This window comes from Homo sapiens, chromosome 11 (genome assembly GCF_000001405.40).
Source record: "Homo sapiens chromosome 11, GRCh38.p14 Primary Assembly".
In the NCBI taxonomy this organism is placed as follows: domain Eukaryota; kingdom Metazoa; phylum Chordata; class Mammalia; order Primates; family Hominidae; genus Homo; species Homo sapiens.
Window position 1 is genome coordinate 33,611,555 of NC_000011.10, and position 26,862 is coordinate 33,638,416.

General features: G+C 43.3%; 1 protein-coding gene across 8 annotated transcripts in view, besides 1 other annotated feature; it reads left to right on the plus strand.

Moving 5' to 3' along the window:
- Positions 1–26,862, plus strand: part of KIAA1549L (KIAA1549 like) — a 297,995-nt gene that overhangs the window by 235,447 nt on the left and 35,686 nt on the right. For all 8 annotated transcript variants that reach the window (XM_047426719.1, XM_005252848.4, NM_012194.3 and 5 more), the window contains one exon: positions 6,979–7,108. In XM_047426719.1, coding sequence (XP_047282675.1) covers positions 6,979–7,108 — 130 coding nt within the window. The remainder of the gene's footprint in view (positions 1–6,978; positions 7,109–26,862) is intronic.
- Positions 11,465–11,594: an enhancer, noted in NCBI's record as "active region_4581". NCBI's record gives its function as "activates an Ori minimal core promoter by ATAC-STARR-seq in GM12878 lymphoblastoid cells {active_cell/tissue: GM12878}" and the evidence as "EXISTENCE:reporter gene assay evidence [ECO:0000049][PMID:35858748]".

The following is a 26,862-nucleotide window of genomic DNA, read 5'->3' on the forward strand; positions in this document are numbered from 1 at the left end:
CACAATGCATGTGTCACTGTGTTAATACCTGTAGAAAAAAAAGAAAAAAGTTGGGGAGTTTATAGGGAGGCTGATTGGTTCTTTAGCTTTTATTTTGTACTTCAGGGAGTTTTACTTCAGTGGTCTTTGGGATAGGAGCTGGGATGGGAGCTGTTTTTCCTGGATTTCATGCTGACACTCAGGGAAAATGAATCAAAGCCACGAAATCAAGGTGAGAGGTGGGGCTAAATTTTATGAATTGTGTTAACATAATCATTTTCATGTACAAATTAAAGAAACTTAGGAAGTTACTTGAGAAACAAAAATTTCAGTTAAGGCTTTTTATGAAAAGAGAATGAATGAAGAATGAACCAAACTTGTTTCTGTAGAGAGGCATCACCTCTGCCTAGCACAGGTGCAGGCCAGATTCTTGGGGCCTTTTGATGACCTGCTAATGCCACGTGTATTGTAGCTAATTCTCAGCAAATGTTCATTGAATAAATGGTTTCATGATCATAAAGCACCAAAAACAACTTTTAAAACATTTTTGACCAGTTAAGGGGAAAATAATGGAGAGCCATAAACTGGGTGAGCTAGGAATAGGAATGGAGAGAGGATCAGCCAGAGATGAGAATGGGGAGGGACAGACAGAAAAAAGAGAGTGACAACCTCGGTAAGCTCAGAGGTATTATTCTTGACACACTCTGCTGTTGACTCCAGAGACTGCTGACTGTTTATCTGCTATCACAGGTTAGAGTTACCTGTTAATTACTGTTCACAGTATAACCCTCCAGAGGTTCTGCTTTCAGTGACCAAGCCACAGCAGGACAAGTGAAGGAATCATGCTCTAGTCCAGAGGTAGCATCAGTGTATTAGGCCAGTCTCTTTTTATTTTTTTATTTTTGTAGAGATGGGGTTTTGCCATGTTGCTCAGGCTGGTCTCAAACTCCTGGGCTCAAGCAGTCCTCCTGCCTTGGCCTTCCAGAGTGCTGGGATTACAGGCGTGAGCCACTGCGCCCAGCCAACCATTCTTGCATTGCTATAAAAAATACCTGAGACTGGGTAGTTTTTTTTTTTTTTCTTTTCTTTTAGGTTTGAAGTTACATGTGCAGGTTTGTTATATCGATAAACTTCTGTCATGGGGTTGGTTGTATGGATTATTTCATCACTCAGGTATTAAACCTATTAGCCAATAATTATTTTTTCTGCCCTCTCCCTCCTTTTACCCTACACCCTGAAGTATACCCCAGTGTCGGTTGTTCCATTTATATTCATGAATTCTCATCATTTAGCACCCACTTATAAGTGAGAACATATGGTATTTGGTTTTCTGTTCCTGTATTAGTTTGCTAAGGATAATAGCCTCCAACTCCATCCATGTTTCTGCAAAAGACATGATCTTGTTCTTTATTATGGCTGTATAGTATTCCATGGTGTATATGTATCACATTTTTTTTCATCCAGTCTGTCATTTATGGGCATTTAGGTTGATTCCATATCTTTGCAATTGTGAACAGTGCAGCAGTGAACATTCTCATGCATGTGTCTTTATGGTGGAATGATTTCTGTTCCTCTGGGTATATAATAGTAATGGAATTGCTGGCTCAAATGGTAGTTCTGTTCTTAGCTCTTTAAGGAATTGCCATACTGCTTTCCACAATGGTTGAACTAATTTACACTCCCACCAACAGTGTATAAGAGTTCCCTTTTTCCTGTAACCTCACCAGCATCTACTATTTTTTGACTTTTTAATCATAGCCATTCTTACTGGTATGAGATGGTACCTCATTTTGGTTTTGATTTGCGTTTCTCTTGTGATCAGTGATACTGAGCTTTTTTCATATGCTTGTTGGCCACATGTATATCTTCTTTTGAAAAGGAGACTGGGTAATTTATAAAGAAAAGAGGTTTAATTGGCTCACAGTTCTGCAGGCTGTGGAAGCAAAGCACCAGCATCTTCTTAGGCCTCAAGGAGCTTTTACTCATGGTGGAAGGAAAAGCAGAAGCAAAAGAGATCTGGGGCAGGGAGATGCCATACACTCTTAAACAACCAGATGTCGCGAGAACTCATTGTCACAGGGACAGCACCAACCCATGAGGGATCCACCCCCATGATCCAGTCACCTCCCACCAGGCCCCACCTCCAACACTGGGGATTACATTTCAACATGAGATATGGGTGGAGACAAATATCCAAACTAGATCAATCAGTAACCAGAATTTTACCTTAAGACCTAAATTAAATCAAATAAAAGACAAAGTTTAGGTTCCAAATGTTGACTCATCACTAAATCTTTTAAAATCATTTTCAGAGCCTTAAAAAAATCAGAACACTTCATTTTTACATTATAAACTCTTACCCAGAGACACAAAGTACATAACATAATTGAGATGGTTGCTGTTGGCGGCCCCAGTCCATGCCCTCAGCTCTCCCTGAGCCTGTCCAGGCCAGCAGCATCCTACTTGCTACAGGCATCTGTGACTCCAACTTAAAGGCTTTTTCTCGGCAGCCACCAACCAGAAGTGTCATGTAGTTAAGACACTGTGGAGCATCCTCAGTTTGTAACAGATGGAAACTGATGGATAAATACCCCTGGCAAGGGAACTGGAAGCGTAAGTTACACTGTTGCAATAACTACATTTTCTAGTTTCTATATTTGATGATTTGGACATCTGGGGCCTTGCTGACCCCAGAGAAACTGTCCTTCCCAGGCTACTGTCCTCCCCAGGCTAGTAAAGGACTCACTGGCAGACATGCCTTTCATGTGCAAAGCAGCCAGTGCAGAGGCCAAACATGAACTGCCTGCTCTATATGGTCTCACAGGGCTCTCCACCCTGAGTCACTGTCTGTCTGCCCTGATTACCCCAGGGCCAGGTACCAGACAACTCAGGACAGCCCTTGTGCCCCAGAATCTGCCAAAAGTATTCAATCAAAATTAGTCACACTCCCCTGTGGTATGGCCTGTTCCCTCCTCTTGGGATCTGTGAGTGTAACAAGATATATATATATATATATATATATATATATATATATATATATATATATATATATTTTTTTTTTTTTTTTTTTTTTTTTTTTTTTGGTGTAGGGGCTGGGGGAGATGGAGTCTCCCTCTGTTGCCAGGCTGGAGTGCTGTGGCGCTATCTCGGCTCACTGCAACCTCTGACTCCCTGGTCCAAGTGATTCTCCTGCCTCAGCTTCCCAAGTAGCTGGGATTACAGGCACGCGCCACCACGCCCAGCTAATTTTTGTATTTTTAATAGAGACGGGGTTTCACCATGTTGGGCAGGATGGTCTCAATCTCCTGACCTCTTGATTGGCTTGCCTCAGCCTCCCAAATTGCTGGGATTACAGGCATGAGCCACAGTGCCGGGCCTCAAGCTATATTTTTAATGGCAGTCTTGTCCTGATCTATTGGCCATGCCATACCTAAATAATAAAACCTACCTTTTAAAACAACTGTCTCCCACACTTTTCCAGTGGGCTTGAGCCTCCGTTACCCAAAACACAAATCTACTCCATATCATACCCTTTATTGATTTTCCTTCCTTCCCTCTGTCATTTCCCCACTCCCCAGCTAGTGCTTCCTGGAGCCACCTCCCAAATAAATGACTTACACTCAAATCATTCTAGAACCTGCTTCTAGGGAACCCCACGTAAGGTAATAATATATAAAGATGGAGTTGCTCTGATGGAAGCTGGGCCTCCTCCCGCTCCTCAGTCCTTTCCAGGCCATCTCTGTGGAACCCCAGGGTTCCATAGAAAGAGAACATAATTTGAGAGTTACTTTCTTAAACTGTATTGGGATTAACCAGCAAGTAAAACTCATCATTACCCACCCAGCAGTATTTTCAGAGGTAAGAAACTTACTTCTCAAGTTTGTATGCTTCAAAATGTATTGCCTTTAAAAAGTATATAGCAAAATATCAACAAGAAATGAATATACCTAATGGGATGCTATCTTATTAAAACAGGTAATTTCTCTACCTGAGAGTCTAATTTATTTTTACATAGATGCTTGCACACCAGGCCTGCATTGGTGGTCTGGAAATTGAAATCCATGTTAAACAGCAGCCTTTAAGCTGTATATTTTAAGGGGATGTTGCCTCCGAGACAAAAGTAGACTGGTATACACTTCAATGTCGACACTTTTACCTACATTTACAGTTCTTGACAGGGCTTACACACTCTCGCTATTGTACTTCTAACACTTGCAAAATAACCTACTTAAGTGTCAATTGCTAATCTTAGTATTTACTCCACCACCACCCTTATTAGTAAATCTTTTCTAAATGGGCTAATTGATAATCTCAAGACAGTTGTAAAGTCTGCCTTTTCCCAAAAACGATGTGTAATTAGGTCAAGGATGAGAATTCCTCTCGAGTCTGCAGAAGGTGTGAATCACTAGGAGCAGATTGTTTCAACAGCTCACTGAGGTTGTGCTTCCCTAAAGGAAGCCTCTAATTGCAGATAGCTATAGGGCACAGTTTATACTATTAGCTTGTGAGTGCCGTTATTAGAGTTAGTCAGACTTCTTTGGGCTGCAAATGATGGAAATCCAGCACAAACTGGTTAAATAAAAGGGGAATATATTATTGAGCATTATTGAAAGGTCCAGGCTTCGGCTTGGCTGGATCCAGGGGTCAGATGATGTCTCCTATGTTAGATCTTGCTCTCTTTTCACTCTCTGCTGCCCCCATTTTCAGGCAGGCTCTTACCTCATGGTGACAAACCGGCTGCCAGCAACTCCTGGCATATATCCTATCTTCTTAGAAACCCCAATACCAAGAGAACGCCTCTTTCCTAGTTTCCCTAGCAAAAGCCCTGAGACTCAGTCCCACCAGAACAACTCAGGTCAGATGCCCAGCCCCTGACCCATCACTGTGGCCATGGGGATGTGATGCTGGGATTGGTCCAGCCTGAATCACATGCCTACCCCTGGAGGAAAGGGAGCCCCCAAGTGACATCATGATGCTCTTACCAAAGGAAGGTTATCACAGGTAATAGGCAAGCAAAGGCAACAGATGCTCTTTGAGCAGGTATAAGCTCTTCATGGTGAAGGTCTAGAACCAGTGGTGTCTGCTGTATTCCCAAGGCTAATGGCAAGGGTAATGCTTTGCCTTAGAATTCTACTGCCTCTCCTAGACTATGTATGATTGTAATTCTGTGACTAACTTACTGTGTGTCTATGAAAAAAAATGTGTAAGCCTGCCAGGTTTCTGGGGCTTCCCACATAGTCACTGGGAAGAAATAATACAGTCTCTTCACCTTCAACCCATGAATAGCTAGAATCTTAGAATAGAGACACTACATAGGCGGTGTTGGCGGGCACGGAGGCTCACACCTGTAATCGCAGCACTTTGGGAGGCTGAGGTGGGCAGATCTCTTGAGCCCCAGAATTCGAGACCAGCCTGGGCAACATGGTGAAACCCTGTCTCTACAAAAATTACAAAAAAATTAGCCTAGCTTTGTGGTATGTGCCTGTAGACCCAGCTACTCAGGAGGGTGAGATGGAAGGATCACCTAATCCAAGGAGGTCAAGGCTGCAGTGAGGTTATACCGCTGCACTCCAGCCAGGGTGACAGATTGAGATTCTATCAAAAAAAAAAAAAAAAAGGAATGTTTGGAGAGTTTTCTGAAGATAGATAGTCTTAGAATGCAAGTTAATCACAGGGAGACTTATAGCTGGGTGAGAAGGAAGTGCTATCCCTTTGCCACCTTGCAGGATCGTGTGGAACTCACTTGTCCCCAATAAGCCTCACCCCCACTTGTAAAATTACCTCTTGTGGAAGAAGAAAAGCATAGCCAATCTCCTCACTATGTTGCTATTTACTTCCCACTCTTTGAAAAGATTTTTCTAATGACAAGTGGAGACAATACAGGGGTGACAAATGTATGAATTTTTTAGCAGTAGCTGAGTGGAGTCCCTGAATGTGCCACTCCCTGGGCCTGAAATGCTCTGTGCCCAGATCAATGTGTGACTGGCTCCACTTAGGACTCAGCTGAATTGTCACCTCCCCAGAGAGGCCTTCCCTGATCATCCTATCTAAAGTTGTCTCCCATCCTAGTCCCCGTTTGTCACAGCTTAATAGCACTTATCACTCTGAAATTACCATGTTAATTATCTGTCTCTCTCATTAGGATGTAATCTCTAGGAGAGGAGGGGCCATAATCTGTTTTGTTCACTGTGGATGTTCATCATCTTCCATGGTGCCTGGCACATAGTAGGCATTCGGTAAATGATGGAAGCCTCGGTGGATGGATGGATGGATGGATGGATGGATGGATGGATGGATAGGTAGGTGGGTGGATGGATGGATGGACGGATGGACAGATGGGTAGGTAGGTGGATGGATAGATGTGGATGGATGGACGGATGGACGGATGGATGGATGGATGGATGGATAGGTGGGTGGGTGGATGTGAGGGTGGATGAATGGATAAGCCCCAAATTACATCTGGGTTTATGGCTTCTTAGTCCGGAAGGAAATCTACTGTGGTAATAGCAGAAAAGAAATCTATCCACAGTCATAATGTTAAGCAGCCCACTAGCTACAGGGTTTATTAACACATCATAGAATCCTGCGTGTGAAACCAGAAAGAGTAAAAGGAACAGGAGGTTGCTGAGTCAACAAAGTCAACAAAGGCAAGTTTGTTCCCATCAGCGTTAGCTGTCCTAGAGGGTCAAGGGAGAACCCCTGGTCTTGCCATCAGCAGAATTTTAAATGAGGTTGCAATGTTGCAATTGACTGTAGTTACCTAGTTTCCATATGAAAGAACACTTAACAATTCAGCCAAATGATTACAGCATCTGGAAAAAAAAAAATCTTTATTTCACTCTTTCTACAGCCCCTTATATCCTGGGAATAAATGCCATCAATTCTGAGATTTGTGAGGCAAATCCAAACCCTTCATTGGTTGCCTGTACTTTGGATCAGTGGAGAATTCCATCTGTCAGGGCATTTGCTGCATCATAACAGTTGTTGAATTTTCTTCAGGCAACAGATGAAGAACTCTGTCTACAGAAGCCGGCAGTCTCTGAACAGCCCGAGTCCAGGGGAAACCGAGATGGACCTTCTGGTGACTCGGGAGCGACCCCGGCGTGGAATCCGCAACAGCGGATACGATGTGAGTCTCTGGTGGGCTGGGTAAATACAAGCTTTCCTTTCCCCTGAAGGCAAGGGGGATAGGGCATCCCACTGTGTTTTGGTTTACCACATATTTGTGGAATTTTAAAAAGCACTAAAATGTTTTCTATTTTTTTATTACCTATTTTGCAAAGTAGGACTACTTGGAATGTGTCAGAGTAACAGATTATTGCTAAAAGGATCACGATTTCCGAATTGTGCCATGTTATGAATAGCACATTACGGACTTTAAACTCAATGGATATTCTAAATGCCCTTAATTTATTTTCCCCTCTGTCCTTAGAAATTCAGCAGGGACCACGGCCATGGGTTAGAATTCACTTGAACACAGGCTTCTTTTAATTCATAGCGATATTGAAAAGCTGGATTTGTTCCTGATTTCATAACTCCTCGGTATGCCATGGAAACAATGAGATGTCCAACAGGGCGGTTTGATAATTTCATGTGACAAAGCACATGCTTATGTTCAGTGACGTGACCAAGCTGCAGAAATTATTTTAATCCCGTCAGATTTCCCCAGATGAGGAGTTGCAATTTGGTGCCTCATCTCCGGTACCCTGCACCCTGTGACTTGTCCTTGGACCCATGAGCTCAGGTGAATTGTCCTGTGCTGAGAGGTACAGTAATGCCTCACCCTGCCCCAGCATTTCACATGATCTTGAATCTACACCTAGGTTTGTGAACAGTGTTTCCTTCCCATTCCCCTAAAATGTTTCTCTAAATACAAATAAAATTTTTTCTTTAATAAGAGTTATAATTCAAATATATCTAGATAAACTTATGTTATAATTTAAGAAGTTGTAGTTTGACACTTGGTTTTTAAAATATACCATGCTAATTGGAAAGCAACAATATTTTTCTCCCTCAGGATTAGTCATCTTTTGCCACAAAACCTTAAAATGGGATTTTTTAATGGTCCAATTAAAAACAGAGATATTCTACCTAATTTGAATTTCTAATCACCTTCCTTATATTTAAACTTGATGTTTGTGTTAGTAGTGTTACCCTTATCTTTTGTTTCTTTTTCCTTTTTCATAAAACAGTTTGGTAGTTTAGTTTTATAAATTATAGATGCTTTGGGCAAATCTTTTATTTTTCCACTAGGTTAAATTATTCAATGTTAATTTTTCTCCTTATAAAAAAATATTTCCTATGCGAAATTCATTCAGCAATTTGATAATCAGCCTGTGATTAAAAATCAGGCATTGGAAGCTTCCAGTTAATCTTTCCCCACCAACAGTGAACCTTCTTCCTCGATGCTTATTTAGTTTGGGAACTTTTTCACCTGCTCAGGCATCTGAGACACAGTAGGATTCTCAATTTATTTCAAGATTGGCATTAATAGGGTTTTTTAGTGAGATTGTAGGCAAAGACACCTTGACAGTTTTGAGGAAATGGGTCAGAGGTTTCCCTAATAACCTTAAAAAGAGAACATTGCAGATCGTTTTTTAACCACAGTGACATGACTTGCAGCACTCACTTAGCATCTGTGGAATGTCATGTTAGCAACTTACCTAGAACAATAGAAAGAGACAGATAATTTTTAGGAGGAGATTGCTCACCCTTACAGACATGTATAAGTATACCAAGTACATGTTACTTTAGGGGAAGCCTGCTTTATTCTAATAGACTTCTTTAAAATAGATACTGCTTTGAGAAGTGCATGTGATCTCAAAAATATGATGATAAGCTCCCTTCAGAGAAAAATGATCATCTAGGGAATGGCTTTAAGAATTTAGACTATTGACTGTAAGAATGAAATTGCTTACCTATATCTCCTCTTGTGCTTTTTATACTAATCATATGAAAAGTGTCTAATATTTACCAACTGCTCACTATAGACCAAGCCCTATTCTAGTCTTTTCATGTGTATTATCTCATTGCATTTGCATAGTTACCAGCCAAGTAGATGCTTTCATTATGCCCATTGTATGGATGAAGAAACTGAGGCCAGTTATATAATTTGCCTACCCAGCCACAGAGCCCCTCCCCTTAACCACCATGCAATATGGCCTCTGTATTCATCCTTCCTCACTATACATCTATCCTTACGTAATATAATCCGTATCCTATATTTTTGAACCTCTGGAAGAAGCTAGATGTCAGGGCTCACAAGCATTCTTACATGAATAACTCACACAAGCAAAACATGGACCAGCAAATAAAGTAGAAAAAAAAAAGTGAGTCATAGTTTTAAACAATACATTCATTTTCTAAGCTCTTGATTTTCTAAAATTACCAGAGCGCTTCTGGCAAAAGAATCCATTAGCACAGCAGTGAGCCGGTCATTCAATTGGAAACATGTCATTCTTCCCACTGGGTCTGGGGATCTAGAAGCCCTGCCAAAATATCCAGTCCTTTCTGCCAGGTTGGGGAACCTTGACACCGTAGAAGCAAAAGCACTGGGAGATTGATTTAATTTTACGTTTTTTGAAAGATGACTGGAGTCCCAAAGGAAAAGCCTGAATGTAAAAATAAATGAATAAATGCATAAATAAGCAAATACGTGCTACACAGGCAAATCTTAGCACCAGGACTGTAGCAGCATGGATTGTTGCACAATTTTCCCATAGAACAAGAGTTATTAGGGCCTATAGAAGGGAGACCCTTAGCTCCAAGGGGTTTGGGATCACTGCGTTTTACAGCAACAATCTTCAACCTTTTGGTCACTCTTTCAGCTAAGGGATGTAGTACACTCCCGGCACTAACAATACCTCACTTGGTAGTAATATTCTAGAAGGACACATTCCCATTAGAGGGATGTGTTATTTTCACAAGATGCTCCAAACTCCCAAAAGACCAGATCATATTATTAAACCAACTTTGGCATTGAACTTAATTCATCCCTATGTATAAAGCAGGTAGAAAAGAAAATGTCAGCCTAATGTGTAAAAGCAAAAATATCTCTATTTCAAAGTATTTTTAAAATGTTATTTTCTGAATGAAAGTCATGTGGAAAATAATGAAGCAGTAAGGAAAAGAAAAAAAAAATGCTGTAAATATGATTCTCAGGCAGAATAAAGACCGAAGTGATTTTTCCTTTATCAGCCAAATTATTTACCCCAGTATGTGGATACGAAACCTTTGCTTCCAAAAGGTAAGTAATCATTAAATCATCCCCCAGAAAGAAAAATGCACCTCTTCAACATTGATCTGTTTTTGGAGTTTAAAAATCCGTGGCAGGAAAGGAGCCAGCTATGTGCCTTGGCTATGAGGGAGACTCTGAAATTTATTGTTTGAATTATAACTTTGAAAATGAATGAAGTAGGGACTTTTACAAACTACTTCTCTTAGTTTCCCTCTAGCAGCTTGTCTGAAGTTCCATGCACTGGAGGTAGTTGCCAGTCCTGTGGGCTCAGACCCTAAAATGTGGGCAGTGGGTTTGAAAATGTTAAGAAGGATGGTTGATTCATTGGTGCATCTCAAAGAGGCGATCACAGTCATTAGTTCTCACTCCAGAGGGCTTCTTTGGGGAAATGTTTGAAACCAGATGCTTCTACAGCTGAAAAGTACATGTAAATCTATAAAAAGGGGTATCAGGCGAGGTCCAGCTGCAGAAAACTGAAAACATCAGCTGTTTAAAACAGACCCAAAAAATGACTATTAGGAATTAGGCGCTCACAAAATCATCGGCGGGTTGAAGGAATGTTCCTGGAAAGATTCCTAGAACAAGACCACAGGGCTGGCCCTGAGGAGGGGCTGCTGCCTCTTCCTCAAGCAGGAAGATGGAGAAGCGGCCTGCCCTGGAACACCGAGGTTAAGAAAACACAGTCATAGCATGATCCAGGAATGAGAGAGCCCCACAGAACCAGAGTTAAGGACTGTGGTGCTCAGCAACCCAGCTTCCAGCAGCCTAGGCAGCAGAAAGATGGGCCTGCCCCATTTCCTCTGTCCGGAGTGCACACAAGTGCATCTAACTGACAGGACCGAAGTCTCATCCACAGCCACAACCTCCTGGAACGCCAGGAGATAGAAATTAGCCATTTAGCCTCAACAGTACAGGAATGCACACTACAAGGAGGTTGCCTGTCCATTACCTCCACGGCAGGCACCAGGCAAAAGCGAGAGGAGAGAAAAATTACCAGGCAGGGCAATACTCAGGAAGCAGTTGGGGCAACTAGTGGATAAAAGTATATCCCAAAGGCGAAAATGAGCCCGTTTCTCAGAGCTCAGTCCACAACAGCCTGCTGAGGAAGGCCTGGGCGCGTTGTCTGATGTCAAGCCTATAGGCTGACAGTGCACCCAGCTTCCTTTGTTACAGGTGAGCAGTGGTTACTGGAAGGAGATGAAGGAATTGAAACGGTTGTTTTGATGAGTTGCACTTGCAGAACAATGAAATATTATCTGGAAAGTCCCTGACTGCTCACAAAGCTTATGGCAAGTCTGGGGCCTCCTCAGTAAATTTGTAATCCTATTATTAATAGAAATCTCTTCTGCCCACCCACTTCCCACACCTGCCCCAGCACCTTACAGCTTTGGCGTAACAGTCAGGGACCAAGGCCAACACAGGAATGCCCTGGTGCTGCGTAATGGAGTGGTCCCAATTAAGGGTACAACCAGCTTGTTGCTCCATTGGGAAGCAATTGGTTGGATTTGGAGATTTTGTCCTTTATTCTAGAAGCAACCTGCTTGTTGCCCCCCTGACCTCGGTGCTCTTGTGTTGACCCCACTACCATTACCACCTTAGCATCTCACCCAAAACTTTCCTCCATAGCCCCTCATCTTAGCCTTTCATTTCCTTCTCCTACCTCTCCCAGCTAACATGAGCTATAATAACCCTGGCTTGATATGTTATCTCGACTTAATTTACGGTACATTATATTTTAACAGGGACTTCTAATCCAAGAGAAATATCTGCTCATGGGAAATCAGGCTCCCTGGGAGAACCTGAGGCAAAGAGATTGAGGTGTTTGAGGGTGAAGGAGGTCTTTAGGTAAAGTCCAGATGTCACCAGGTTGATGGCTGCCCAGAAAGACACTTATCAACCCCAGTGATGGAGGCCACTTGGCGAGTGGGGAGTGGGAGGTGGGATGCTTGTTGTCAGGTTTGAGAGGGAGGCGGAGGGGTTTCAGCATGGCCTAGTGACCTCCTTCAGAGCCAGGCCTCCCCTGCAGGCCAAGAATTTCCCTCCCCTATAGGCAACTTCCCACTGGGCAGGAGATAAACAACTTCCCTTCTGTTAGCAGCACTCAAGTGCTATCTGCCTGCATCTTCTCTCTGATCCCCTGCGTTCTGGACCCTGTCTGCTCTTATTCTTGGTACCTGCCTGCCCATGCCCATTTTTTCCCGGACTCTGGGACCTCCTACCCTCTTGACCTAGGGTAGCCACTTCTTTCAGGCCAGGGTCCTCAGCATGCTGTAGGTATACTTTCAGGGAGAGGAGGAAGTAGATTTAGGCAGCTTTTAAAGTTGGGCTATGGTACAGACACTACAAGGCCTCAGCTGACCCCATGGAGGCTCTGCAGCTCAGATGGCCCTGAAGAGTTGTCTCAAGTTTGGGAAGCAGCTGTGCATATGTACTCTAGAATGGACCAGTCATTGGATGTCCTTGGGTGAGGCTGTTCTCTTTAGCCAAGGGCAGTTCCCTGCAAGAGCTGACATCTGAGGACTGACAGCTGGCAGTGTGCCCAGCAGCTGGGGGAATCCATCTTCTAGTCCTAAGCAGCATGGCTTAGAGTCCACTAGTTCCTTACAATCCTATGTACTCCTGGGCCACCTATGTCTGCCAAGCCCCTGCAGGAGCTGGAGGCCAGTGGACAAATGTAAACACCCCTTGGGAATTGCCATTCCTTTTCTTTCTTCTAGCAAACATTAATTGAGTGCATTGGAACCATGGCAGCATATGTGCACTTAATGTATGTAAATTCAGTAATACGAGTCCTGAAAGAAAAAGGAAAAAAAACTTAAATAAAGCCAAAAAACTAGCTTTTACATGTATTTTGTTTATATTGTACATTGCAGATTATGTGTTTCTTTTTCCCTATTACCTTATAAGGTTGTATGCACAGGGCCACATAGGCTACACCAAGTGGACGATTTAAGAGATTTTCTTTTTTTTTTTTTTAATTTTTGCTTTTTTTTTATTATTATTATACTTTAAGTTTTAGGGTACATGTGCACAATGTGCAGGTTAGATACATATGTATACATGTGCCATGCTGGTGCACTGCACCCACTGACTCCTCATCTAGCATTAGGTATATCTCCCAGTGCTATCCCTCCCCCCTCCCCCCACCCCACAACAGTCCCCAGAGTGTGATGTTCCCCTTTCTGTGTCCATGTGTTCTCATTGTTCAATTCCCACCTATGAGTGAGAACATGTGGTGCTTAGTTTTTTGTTCTTGCGATAGTTTACTAAGAATGATGATTTCCAATTTCATCCATGTCCCTACAAAGGACATGAACTCATCATTTTTTATGGCTGCATAGTATTCCATGGTGTATATGTGCCACATTTTCTTAATCCAGTCTATCATTGTTGGACATTTGGGTTGGTTCCAAGTCTTTGCTATTGTGAATAGTGCCTCAATAAACATACGTGTGCATGTGTCTTTATAGCAGCATGATTTATAGTCCTTTGGGTATATACCCAGTAATGGGATGGCTGGGTCAAATGGTATTTCTAGTTCTATATCCCTGAGGAATCGCCACACTGACTTCCACAATGGTTGAACTAGTTTACAGTCCCACCAACAGTCTAAAAGTGTTCCTATTTCTCCATATCCTCTCCAGCACCTGTTGTTTCCTGACTTTTTAATGATTGCCATTCTAACTGGTGTGAGATGGTATCTCATTGTGGTTTTGATTTGCATTTCTCTAATGGCCAGTGATGGTGAGCATTTTTTCATGTGTTTTTTGGCTGCATAAATGTCTTCTTTTGAAAAGTGTCTGTTCATGTCCTTTGCCCACTTTTTGATGGGGTTGTTTGTTTTTTTCTTGTAAATTTGTTGAGTTCATTGTAGATTCTGGATATTAGCCCTTTGTCAGATGAGTAGGTTGTGAAAATTTTCTCCCATTTTGTAGGTTGCCTGTTCACTCTGATGGTAGTTTCTTTTGCTGTGCAGAAGCTCTTTTAGTTTAATTAGATCCCATTTGTCAATTTTGGCTTTTGTTGCCATTGCTTTTGGTGTTTTAGACATGAAGTCCTTGCCCATGTCTATGTCTTGAATGGTAATGCCTAGGTTTTCTTCTAGGGTTTTTATGGTTTTAGGTCTAACGTTTAAGTCTTTAATCCATCTTGAATTGATTTTTGTATAAGGTGTAAGGAAGGGATCCAGTTTCAGCTTTCTACATATGGCTAGCCAGTTTTCCCAGCACCATTTATTAAATAGGGAATCCTTTCCCCGTTGCTTGTTTTTCTCAGGTTTGTCAAAGATCAGATAGTTGTAGATATGCGGCATGATTTCTGAGGGCTCTGTTCTGTTCCATTGATCTATATCTCTGTTTTGGTACCAGTACCATGCTGTTTTGGTTACTGTAGCCTTGTAGTATAGTTTGAAGTCAGGTAGTGTGATGCCTCCAGCTTTGTTCTTTTGGCTTAGGATTGACTTGGCAATGCGGGCTCTTTTTTGGTTCCATATGAACTTTAAAGTAGTTTTTTCCAATTCTGTGAAGAAAGTCATTGGTAGCTTGATGGGGATGGCATTGAATCTGTAAATTACCTTGGGCAGTATGGCCATTTTCACAATATTGATTCTTCCTACCCATGAGCATGGAATATTCTTCCATTTGTTTGTATCCTCTTTTATTTCCTTGAGCAGCGGTTTGTAGTTCTCCTTGAAGAGGTCCTTCACATCCCTTGTAAATTGGATTCCTAGGTATTTTATTCTCTTTGAAGCAATTGTGAATGGGAGTTCACTCATGATTTGGCTCTCTGTCTGTTGTTGGTGTATAAGAATGCTTGTGATTTTTGTACATTGATTTTGTATCCTGAGACTTTGCTGAAGTTGCTTATCAGCTTAAGGAGATTTTGGGCTGAGACAATGGGGTTTTCTAGATATACAGTCATGTCGTCTGCAAACAGGGACAATTTGACTTCCTCTTTTCCTAATTGAATACCCTTTATTTCCTTCTCCTGCCTAATTGCCCTGGCCAGAACTTCCAACACTATGTTGAATAGGAGTGGTGAGAGAGGGCATCCCTGTCTTGTGCCAGTTTTCAAAGGGAATGCTTCCAGTTTTTGCCCATTCAGTATGATATTGGCTGTGGGTTTGTCATAGATAGCTCTTATTATTTTGAAATACGTCCCATCAATACCTAATTTATTGAGAGTTTTTAGCATGAAGTGTTGTTGAATTTTGTCAAAGGCCTTTTCTGCATCTATTGAGATAATCATGTGGTTTTTGTCTTTGGTTCTGTTTATATGCTGGATTACATTTATTGATTTGCATATATTGAACCAGCCTTGCATCCCAGGGATGAAGCCCACTTGATCATGGTGGATAAGCTTTTTGATGTGCTGCTGGATTCGGTTTGCCAGTATTTTATTGAGGATTTTTGCATCAATGTTCATCAAGGATATTGGTCTAAAATTCTCTTTTTTGGTTGTGTCTCTGCCCGGCGTTGGTATCAGGATGATGCTGGCCTCATAAAATGAGTGAGGGAGGATTCCCTCTTTTTCTATTGATTGGAATAGTTTCAGAAGGAATGGTACCAGTTCCTCCTTGTACCTCTGGTAGAATTCGGCTGTGAATCCATCTGGTCCTGGAATCTTTTTGGTTGGTAAGCTATTGATTATTGCCTCAATTCCAGCTCCTGTTATTGGTCTATTCAGAGATTCAACTTCTTCCTGGTTTAGTCTTCGGAGAGTGTATGTGTCGAGGAATTTATCCATTTCTTCTAGATTTTCTAGTTTATTTGCATAGAGGTGTTTGTAGTATTCTCTGATGGTAGTTTGTATTTCTGTGGGATCGGTGGTGATATCCCCTTTATCATTTTTTAGTGTGTCTATTTGATTCTTCTCTTTTTTTCTTTATTAGTCTTGCCAATAAAGAAACAATTAGTCTTGCTAATAAACAAAATCTATCAATTTTGTTGATCCTTTCAAAAAACCAGCTCCTGGATTCATTAATTTTTTGAAGGGTTTTTTGTGTCTCTATTTCCTTCAGTTCTGCTCTGATTTTAGTTATGTCTTGCCTTCTGCTAGCTTTTGAATGTGTTTGCTCTTGCTTTTCTAGTTCTTTTAATTGTGATGTTAGGGTGTCAATTTTGGATCTTTCCTGCTTTCTCTTGTGGGCATTTAGTGCTATAAATTTCCCTCTACACACTGCTTTGAATGCATCCCAGAGATTCTGGTATGTTGTGTCTTTGTTCTCGTTGGTTTCAAAGAACATCTTTATTTCTGCCTTCATTCGTTATGTACCCAGTAGTCATTCAGGAGCAGGTTGTTCAGTTTCCATGTAGTTGAGTGGTTTTGAGTGAGATTCTTAATCCTGAGTTCTAGTTTGATTGCACTGTGGTCTGAGAGATAGTTTGTTATAATTTCTGTTCTTTTACATTTGCTGAGGAGAGCTTTACTTCCAAGTTTGTGGTCAATTTTGGAATAGGTGTGGTGTGGTGGTGAAAAAAATGTATATTCTGTTGATTTGGGGTGGAGAGTTCTGTAGATGTCTATTAGGTCCGCTTGGTGCAGAGCTGAGTTCAATTCCTGGATATCCTTGTTGACTTTCTGTCTCGTTGATCTGTCTAATGTTGACAGTGGGGTGTTAAAGTTTCCCATTATTAATGTGTGGGAGTCTAAGTCTCTTTGTAGGTCACTCAGGACTTGCTTTATGAATCTGGGTGCTCCTGTATTGGGCGCATATATATTTAGGATAGTTAGCTCTTCTTGTTGAATTGATCCCTTTACCATTATGTAATGGCCTTCTTTGTCTCTTTTGATCTTTGTTGGTTTAAAGTCTGTTTTATCAGAGACTAGGATTGCAACCCCTGCCTTTTTTTGTTTTCCATTTGCTTGGTAGATCTTCCTCCATCCTTTTATTTTGAGCCTATGTGTGTCTCTGCACGTGAGATGGGTTTCCTGAATACAGCACACTGATGGGTCTTGACTCTTTATCCAATTTGCCAGTCTGTGTCTTTTAATTGGAGCATTTAGTCCATTTACACTTAAAGTTAATATTGTTATGTGTGAATTTGATCCTGTCATTATGATGTTAGTTGGTTATTTTGCTTGTTAGTTCATGCAGTTTCTTCCCAGTCTCGATGGTCCTTACATTTTGGCATGATTTTGCATCGGCTGGTACCGGTTGTTCCTTTCCATGTTTAGCGCTTCCTTCAGGAGCTCTTTTAGGGCAGGCCTGGTGGTGACAAAAGCTCTCAGCATTTGCTTGTCTGTAAAGTATTTTATTTCTCCTTCACTTACGAAGCTTAGTTTGGCTGGATATGAAATTCTGGGTTGAAAATTCTTTTCTTTAAGAATGTTGAATTTTGGCCCCCACTCTCTTCTGGCTTGTAGAGTTTCTGCCGAGAGATCCGCTGTTAGTCTGATGGGCTTCCCCCTTTGAGGGTAACCCGACCTTTCTCTCTGGCTGCCCTTAACATTTTTTCCTTCATTTCAACTTTGGTGAATCTGACAATTATATGTCTTGGAGTTGCTCTTCTCGAGGAGTATCTTTGTGGTGTTCTCTGTATTTCCTGAATCTGAATGTTGGCCTGCCTTGCTAGATTGGGGAAGTTCTCCTGGATAATATCCTGCAGAGTGTTTTCCAACTTGGTTCCATTCTCCCCATGACTTTCAGGTACACCAATCAGACGTACATTTGGTCTTTTCACATAGTCCCATATTTCTTGGAGGCTTTGCTCGTTTCTTTTTATTCTTTTTTCTCTAAACTTCCCTTCTCGCTTCATTTCATTCATTTCATCTTCCATCGCTGATACCCTTTCTTCCAGTTGATCACATCGGCTCCTGAGGCTTCTGCATTCTTCACGTAGTTCTCGAGCCTTGGTTTTCAGCTCCATCAGCTCCTTTAAGCACTTCTCTGTATTGATTATTCTAGTTATACATTCTTCTAAATTTTTTTCAAAGTTTTCAACTTCTTTGCCTTTGGTTCGAATGTCCTCCCGTAGCTCGGAGTAATTTGATCGTCTGAAGCCTTCTTCTCTCAGCTCGTCAAAGTCATTCTCCGTCCAGCTTTGTTCCGTTGCTGGTGAGGAACTGCGTTCCTTTGGAGGAGGAGAGGCGCTCTGCTTTTTAGAGTTTCCAGTTTTTCTGCTCTGTTTTTCCCCATCTTTGTGGTTTTATCTACTTTTGGTCTTTGATGATGGTGATGTACAGATGGTTTTTTGGTGTGGATGTCCTTTCTCTTTGTTAGTTTTCCTTCTAACAGACAGGACGCTCAGCTGCAGGTCTGTTGGAGTACTGGACCGTGTGAGGTGTCAGTCTGCCTCTGCTGGGGGGTGCCTCCCACTTAGGCTGCTCAGGGGTCAGGGACCCACTTGAGGAGGCAGTCTGCCCGTTCTCAGATCTCCAGCTGCATGCTGGGAGGACCACAGCTCTCTTCAAAGCTGTCAGACCGGGACATTTAAGTCTGCAGAGGTTACTGCTGTCTTTTTGTTTGTCTGTGCCCTGCCCCCAGAGGTGGAGCCTGCAGAGGCAGGCAGGCCTCCTTGAGCTGTGGTGGGCTCCACCCAGTTCGAGCTTCCCGGCTGCTTTGTTTACCTAAGCAAGCCTGGGCAATGGCGGGCGCCCCTCCCCCAGCCTCGCTGCCACCTTGCAGTTTGATCTCAGACTGCTGTGCTAGCAATCAGCGAGACTCCGTGGGCGTAGGCCCCTCCGAGCCAGGTGCGGGATATAATCTCCTGGTGCGCCATTTTTTAAGCCTGTCGGAAAAGCGCAGTATTCGGGTGGGAGTGACCCGATTTTCCAGGTGCCGTTTGTCACCCCTTTCTTTGACTAGGAAAGGGAACTCCCTGACCCTTTGCGCTTCCCGAGTGAGGCAATGCCTCGCCCTGCTTCGGCTCATGCATGGTGCGTGCACCCAGTGACCTGCGCCCACTGTCTGGCACTCCCTAGTGAGATGAACCCGGTACCTCAGATAGAAATGCAGAAATCACCCATCTTCTGCGTCGCTCACGCTGGGAGCTGTAGACCGGAGCTGTTCCTATTTGGCCATCTTGGCTCCTCCCGATTTAAGAGATTTTCAAGGGCTTTTCTCTACATGATTTTTACCTACTCTGCTGGCTGGCATTAGCATTAGCATCTAAGCTTTGTATGAGATTCCACTGTATCAACCCGTGTGAGGCTCTGTGGAGAAGGGAAAGATGTATTAATTTTCGTGCATGGCCAGGTAATTACTAGTGGAGGAGAGAGGTGGAGGCACGTGCAACGTACTGTGGCAATGAACTTGGATGGGAAGAGGAAGTGCTCCTGAGGGTTTGTTCCTTCCTGTCTGTCCCACAGCCACTGCCCAGTACTGTCTCCATTACTCACCACTGCTGAAGCTGCCAGACAGCTGCCAGGGACATCCTTCTAAAACACACACTCTTGTTCAAAATCCTCCAGGAGCTCCCCATAGCTTTGGAGATAAAACTCAGACTCTAAGCTCCCAGCTCAGCACTTTTCTGCTCTGGCTGGCCCAGATGTGCCCTTCTAGCTGACGCGTGTTACTCCTTCAACCACCCCCTTGGCTCCAGCCTGAACACCTTCCCCAAACTTGTCCTGTGGTTTCTCATCTCCGGGTTTTTGCATGCATGCATCACTCCGCCTGGAATCTCCCTTCCCACCTGCTTCATCCAGGCCCAGGCTGCTCAGCCTCCTCGCTGTTAACACTTAGGGCTGTAGAGTTTCTTCATATGGTGCGCTGTCCTGTACGTTACAGGGTTTTTAGCAGCATCCGTGGTCTCTACCTATGCCTGAGGTGCCAGAAGCCCCTCCCAGTTGTGACAACCAAAATACGTCTCCAGGCATTGCAGATGTCCCCTGGTGGTCAAACCTGCTCCTGGCTGAGAACTACTGACCTAAGCAATGCTTTTGGAACTTGGTTTAAACATGACCTTCCCCAGCACCTTTTCCTGGCCCCTATGCCTATGGGCCCCTCCTTTGTGTTCCAGTAGCCCCTGATACCCCAATCAAAGCCTTCACCTCCAACTTCCATTAGTTAGTTCACTTGTGTTATTTCCCCATGCAACTCCTCGAGGACAGGAGTCATGTTTTATTTATCCTTGAAACCACAGCACTCGGAATAGTAACTGGCACACAGTAGATGCGGTGTCTCTATTTGTTGGGCAAATGAACAAACAAGTGTGTCAAACAGAAGAGGTGACTCCTGAGCTGAGACTTGAAAAAATGGGTCACGTTTCTAGCTCTGAGCCAAATACACATTAGATTTGACGGAATATCAAAACCATAGGCTGATGTCCATTGCCATTTGGAGTTCACTGTGAATGGTGGTTATCCACTAAAATCCTTTGGCAAAAGCAACAGAAACTCCAACTTAAACGATCTTAAAACATGAACAGGGTGAATTGTTTACGGTAAATCCAGGCATGGTTTGGTTGGGGCCCCAGTCTGTTCCTCTGCATTATACACAGGTCTGTGTTCCCTTGTGTGTTGGCTGTATCCACAGGTGGACTCTGGTAAGAAATCCCAGGCCTCATATCTACATCCTGTATGGACCAGTGCAAGAGGGAATTCTCTTTTCCCAACCTCAAGACAAGGTTTATGGGTTTTACTCTGACTGAGCCATCATATGCCAAGTGTCCAGCCCTTCATGAATCACTGTAGCAGTGAATGCGGGGAGATTACACTGATTAATTTAACTTGGTCAGGCCCCATCGATGGAGCTGGGGCAGCTTAGTCCCAGCTAGCCCCCCTGGCTGAAACACAGGGAGAGAAGGAGATGGATGCTGAGGCCATCACAGTGCCTGCTACAGTACCTGCTGCTTGAGGAACACTTGTAGTTGGACTTTTTTATTTAGAGAGACAGATCTTGCTCTGTTGCCCAGGCTGGAGTACAGTGACATAATCACAGCTCACTGCAGCCCCAACCTCCTTGGCTCAGGCGAGCCTCCCTCCTCAGCCTCCCAAGTAGCTAGAACTACTACTACCATACCTGGTTAATTTTTAATTTTTATTTATTTATTTATTTATTTTTGTAGAAATGGGGTCTCCCTATGTTGCCCATAGAGGCTGGCCTAGAACTCCTGGCTTTGAGCAATTTTCCCACCTCAGCCTCCCAGAGTGCTGGGATTATAAACATGAGCACTGTGTTGGGCATTTTAAGGAACACACCCAACAGTCTCCTCCACGTCACTCTTCCCTCCAGTTTCAGCCTGTTGTCATCTTTGTGTTTTTTGTCGTTGTTGTTTGTTTTTGAGACAGAGTTTCATTCTTGTTGCCCAGGCTGGAGTGCAATGGTGTGGTCTCAGCTCACTGCAACCTCCACCTCCTGGGTTCAGGCGATTCTCCTGTCTCAGCCTCCCAAGTAACTGGGATGACAGGTGCCCACCACCATGCCCAGCTTTTTTTTTTTTTTTTTTTTTTTTTTTTTTTGTATTTTTAGTAGAGACAGGGTTTCACCATGTTGGCCAGGCTGGTCTTGAACTCCTGACCTCAGGTGATCTGCCCGCCTCTTTCTCCCAAAGTCCTGGGATTTTTACAGGTGTGAGTCACTGCGCCCAGCCCTCTTGTCATCTTTGGTTGGCCCATTCTGAAGGGAAAGATCAGCGTGGTGTTGTGTAACGACTGCTATTCACTGTGAGCTCGGGAAGTCCAGGCTACAGTCAGAGGTTCATGTTTTAGACACAGATAGAGTGACAGAGGGATTTTGTGCATCCGTCTGGTTTTTTCAAGAGCTGAAGAGGTGAAAGGGCAGACTTGAGTGGATGGCGGGGAGAGCCTGTTTGTGATGGAATAGTGCTAACTCACGGGAGAGATCCTCCCAGTGTCCTCGCTCCCTGCAGTGCCAGCTCAGCTAAGATGAAAAAAAGCAGGTGATGACTCACCTAGAAAGCAAAACGCGAATTAGCTTTCCAAGAGAGAAAGCCATTCTGATATGTTTACTTTCGGGTGGATTCCTTTTGAAGAGGTGTTTTTAATTATGACTGTGGTTTATATATTGTTCTTGAAGTTCACAGGTAGTACAGTGTAGGGGCTGTGCTCATAGCCTCTGGAGCTAGGCTACTTACAAGCTACGTGAAGTTAGGCCAGTTACCTTCCTATCTGCGCTTTAGTGTTCTCATCTGTAAAATGGGGATACCAGTGGTACCTACTTTATGAGGATGTTGTGGAAATTAAATGAGCTAATGCAGACAAAGCATGTAGAAAACAGGCGGTGAACATTAGCTATTATAACTCCCCAGGAGGGAGAGGGCGATACTCCCCTTTTCCTGTTTCTTTTCTAGCAGTTACTACTCTGTTTTTGTTGTTGTTGTTGTTGTTTTGAGACAGAGTCTCATTCTGTCGCCCAGGCTGGAGTGCAGTGGCATGATCTCAGCTCACTGCAACTTCTGCCTCCCGGGTTCAAGCAATTCTCCTGCCTTAGCCTCCTGAGTAGCTGGGATTACAAGCATGCACCACCATGCCCAGCTAATTTTTGTATTTTTAAGAGAGGCAGGGTTTCACCAGGTTGGGCAGGCTTATCTGGAACTCCTGACCTCAAGTGATCCACCCACCTCGGCCTCCCAAAGTGCTGGGATTACAGGTTTGAACCACCACGCCCGGCCTGCGCTTACTGCTCTGAATTGTGTCACACACCAAAGAGAGGACTGCATTCCTCCAAGGGTGCCTTTCTCCAGCATGACTGGACAAGAGATGGGCCGTAGTACAAGGCCACACTTCCAGAGATGACCTTTAAGGTAATGTTTTTGCAAACACAGGGTGGGACAGTGGTTGCAACTCAAGGCAAATGGATCTTGTGGGCTGCTCAGTAATTGAATTTCCCCTGCTCCTTAGAGAGCAACAAGTTATGGGGGGAGAAAGACGGGAAGTTGAGCTGGCACCTAAGACTTCTGTTACACGGGGAAGATGTTTTGCTTTAGGGGCAGTGAGTAATGCTGAGAGCATTGGAGCACCTTCTTTTATCCTTGTCTGTCCCATCTTCATAGTCTCAGTGGAGACTCTGATTATGAGTCACTCTCTGAAAGGTCCTCTCTGAAAGAGGATGTCCCTATTTCCTTAGAAGTCTATGAGAGACCCTTTATATGTCTTTTCTACTGAACTGAAACACAGAAACAGCATGCTGTCCTCACATCCTCATAGCCCTGGAGTGATCGTAGATCATCCTTTGGAAGGGCCATCAGAATGAAATTTGAAATTTTGCTGAAAAAATTTTTTTTAATTCCATTTGCACGCCTTTGCAGAAAAGTGACCAAGCCATTATTTTGAACCCCACTGCCTGTTCTGAGGGGAACCAATCTCACTTTATTATTAGAGAAGCTTCCAGGATGCAGGCTTATGGGAAACTGCTGCCAAAGGTCTCTCTGCTCCTGTACCATCATGGTCTTCTTCCCACCTGGTGAAGTGAGAACTTCCTGAAATGTGGTTTCCAGAAGCAACTTTCTAAATATGTCTCTCCTTCCTCAGTAACAGGCAGCACTTGCAGTGGGCAGAGGAGGCATTAAATGGAGAGAAGTGGCACTGTTTTGTGTGGCCCAAAAGACTCCGATTGGTGGAAAATAAAAATGGACATGGAGCCAGATAAATTTCATCATGGCCAGATGGCCCAGGAATTTATCTTGCTGAAACCCCCACTCGGTCTCTGGGCCCTTGCCACGAAGTTGCATAATTTGTTCAGAATCTGTTCGTGCAGGATGGAGCTGCGATTGACACTGAGCTGAAAATCTGGGCTTTGGGGCAGGGTTTGGAGAGAGGCTTCAAATTCCTATGCTCCAGAAATGAAGTAACAAGGTGAGGTAAAGTGATGTTACACCCACTTGTGTGTCCTGGAAAGTGTGGGCTTGTAAAACCCCTGTTCACTTCGGGGCGCCTAACTCAAGAAATTCTAGAATAAGTGGCCTCAAGAGCCCTTTATCCCTCTTCGTTAAGCCCATTCTAGATAAAACTGTTTCATTCATTTTAGACAAAACTGTTTCATTCATTTTAGACAAATGGAAATGTCTTTTACTGTTGAAGACTTTTGAGTAGGAATTCTCCAGACTTTTAACACTCATTTATTCAGTGAGTATTTATTAATGTTCTACCACATGCCATTCTGGGATACGGCAGAAAATATGACAATATCCCTGCCCTCATGGGGCTTATCCAGTAGTCACCACTTATCCATGGTTTCAGCTACTTACGGTCAACTATGATCTGAAAATATTAAATGGGAAATTCCAAAGATAATTTATACGTTTTAAATTGTGTGCCATTCTGAGTAGTGTAATGAAGTCTGACGCCATCCCACTCCATCCCACCCAGGACATGAATCTTGCCTTTGTCCAGCTTATCCTGGTCAACAAGGATAATGTCTATGCTACCCAGCTGTCAGTCACTTAGTCACACAGTGGTTATTCAGACAACCACTGTCGCAGCATGCCAGTGCTTGTGTTCAGGTAACCCTTATTTTACTTAATGGTGGCTCCAAAGGGTGAGAGTGGTAACGCAATTTGGTTATGACAAAGAAAAGCCCTCTAGTGCTTCCTTTAATAGGTGAAAGTTGCTGACTTAGTAAGGAAAGAAAAAAAATTGTATCCTGAGGTTGCTACAATCTCTGGTAACAATGAATCTTCTTTTTTTTTTTTTTTTTGAGACAGAGTCTCGCTGTGTCACCCAGGCTGGATTGCATTTGCGTAATCACGGCTCACTGCAACTTCCACCTCCTGGGTTCAGCCTCCCAAGTAGCTGGGATTACAGGCATGTACTACCACGCCCAGCTAATTTTTGCCTTTTTAATAGAGATGGGGTTTCACCATGTTGGCCAGGCTGGTGTTGAACTCCTGACCTCAAGTGATCCACCAGCCTCGACCTCCCAAAGTTCTGGGATTACGGGCGTGAACCACCACGCCCAGCCAAGAACGAATCTTCTACCCATGAAATTGTGAACAGTATATTGTTATAATTGTTCTTTTATTATTAGCTATTGTTGTTAATTTCTCACTGTGCCTAATTTATAAATTAAACTTTATTATAGGTTTGTATGAGAAAAAACATCATGTATCTAGGATTCATTACTCTCCACGATTTCAGGCATCCAGTGGGGGTCTTGGAACATTTTCCCTGAGGATAAGGGAGACTAATTTATTACACTAGGGAAAACTGGCAACAAACACCCACACACATACATGTACAGCACAGTGTCGGGAAGGCTATGGAGGAACATAACTCAAGGAAGGCAGTGGAGAGTACCAGGAGCTTCTCTGAATAGCTTGGGCAGGGCAGGGCTCTCCAGGGAGGTGACTTTTGAGCAGACCTAAAATGCTTGCCCCAGGGGAAGAGCTTTCCAGGCAGAAAATTCAGCAAGTGGAAGGGCCCAGACATGCTTGGGGAGCTCAGAGACCATTAAGGAGACCCATGTAGCACAGTTCCTCTTGTTGGTAAAGAGTCTTGGCTTCAACTCTTGGCTTTCCTTCACTCTCACATCTAATCTGTCAGCAGCTCTGCCAGTTCTCTTCCAAAATACATCTTGAACTCACCTACCCCTTGTCTGTCCATGACCACCCTAATCCAGGCCCCTGTCATCTCTTCTGGCCTAGGTTACGGCCAGAGCCGCAAGCAAGTGCTTCCTAACCGGCCTCCCATAAATTCCAATCACATTTCTTCCCTGCTTAAAATTCTTCAGTAGTTTCCCATTGCCCTTTGACAACAGTCCAGCCTTCTTACCATGGCCTTTAAGACCCTGCATGATCTGGACCCTGCCTTCCTCTCCAGCCCCATGTCCTGACAATTAGGGCTTCAGCTACAAGGTCTGTATATTAGTTTGCTAGGGCACAGACTGGGTGGTATGGCTTAAACAACAGACATTTATTTTCTCACAGTTCTGGAGGTTACAAGTTCTAGATCAAAGTGTTGGTAGGATTGGTTTCTTCTGAGGGCCATGAGGGAAGGATGCGTTCCAGGTATCTTTCCTGAGTTTATGAAAGGCCATCTCTTCCCTGAGCCTTCATATCGGCTTCCCTTTGTACATGCTGTGTCCAAATTTCCTCTTCTTAGAAGGATCAGTCCTTTGGACCCAAGGGTCCACTCTAATGACCTCATTTAACTTAATTACCTGTGTGAAGGCGCCATCTCCAAATACAGTCACATTCTGAGATGCTAGGAGTTAGGACTTCAACATAAAAATTTTGTGGGGGACACAGTTCATTCTGTAACAGTCCTTTCTTTTTCTCAAGCACTACCAACTCTCTCTCACCTCTGGGCTTTCCTACAACCATCACATGGGCAACCTCTTCTCCTCCTTCAGGTCTGAAAACATGGCATCTCCTCAGAGAAGCTTTCCCTGACCATCCCCATCAAGCTAGCTATGTCAATCTGTTTTGTTTCTTTTAGTATGGGAAAATTGACATATGGTAAAAATGTACAGGTTGTTAGTACACAATGTGATGAGCTTTGACAAAAGTGTACACCCTTATAACCACCAGACCAATGAAAATACCAAACGTTTTCATCACTCCCAGAAAACTCCCTCACTTTTTTTTTCAGTCAATATTCAGCTCACCCATAGGCAACCACTTGTCTGATATAAACCACTATAGTTTTGCCTGTTCTTGAACTTCATATAAATGGATTTATTCAGTATGTACTCTTTTGTGTCTGACTTCTTTCACTCAAGATTCATCTATGTTATTTTATTCTCTAAA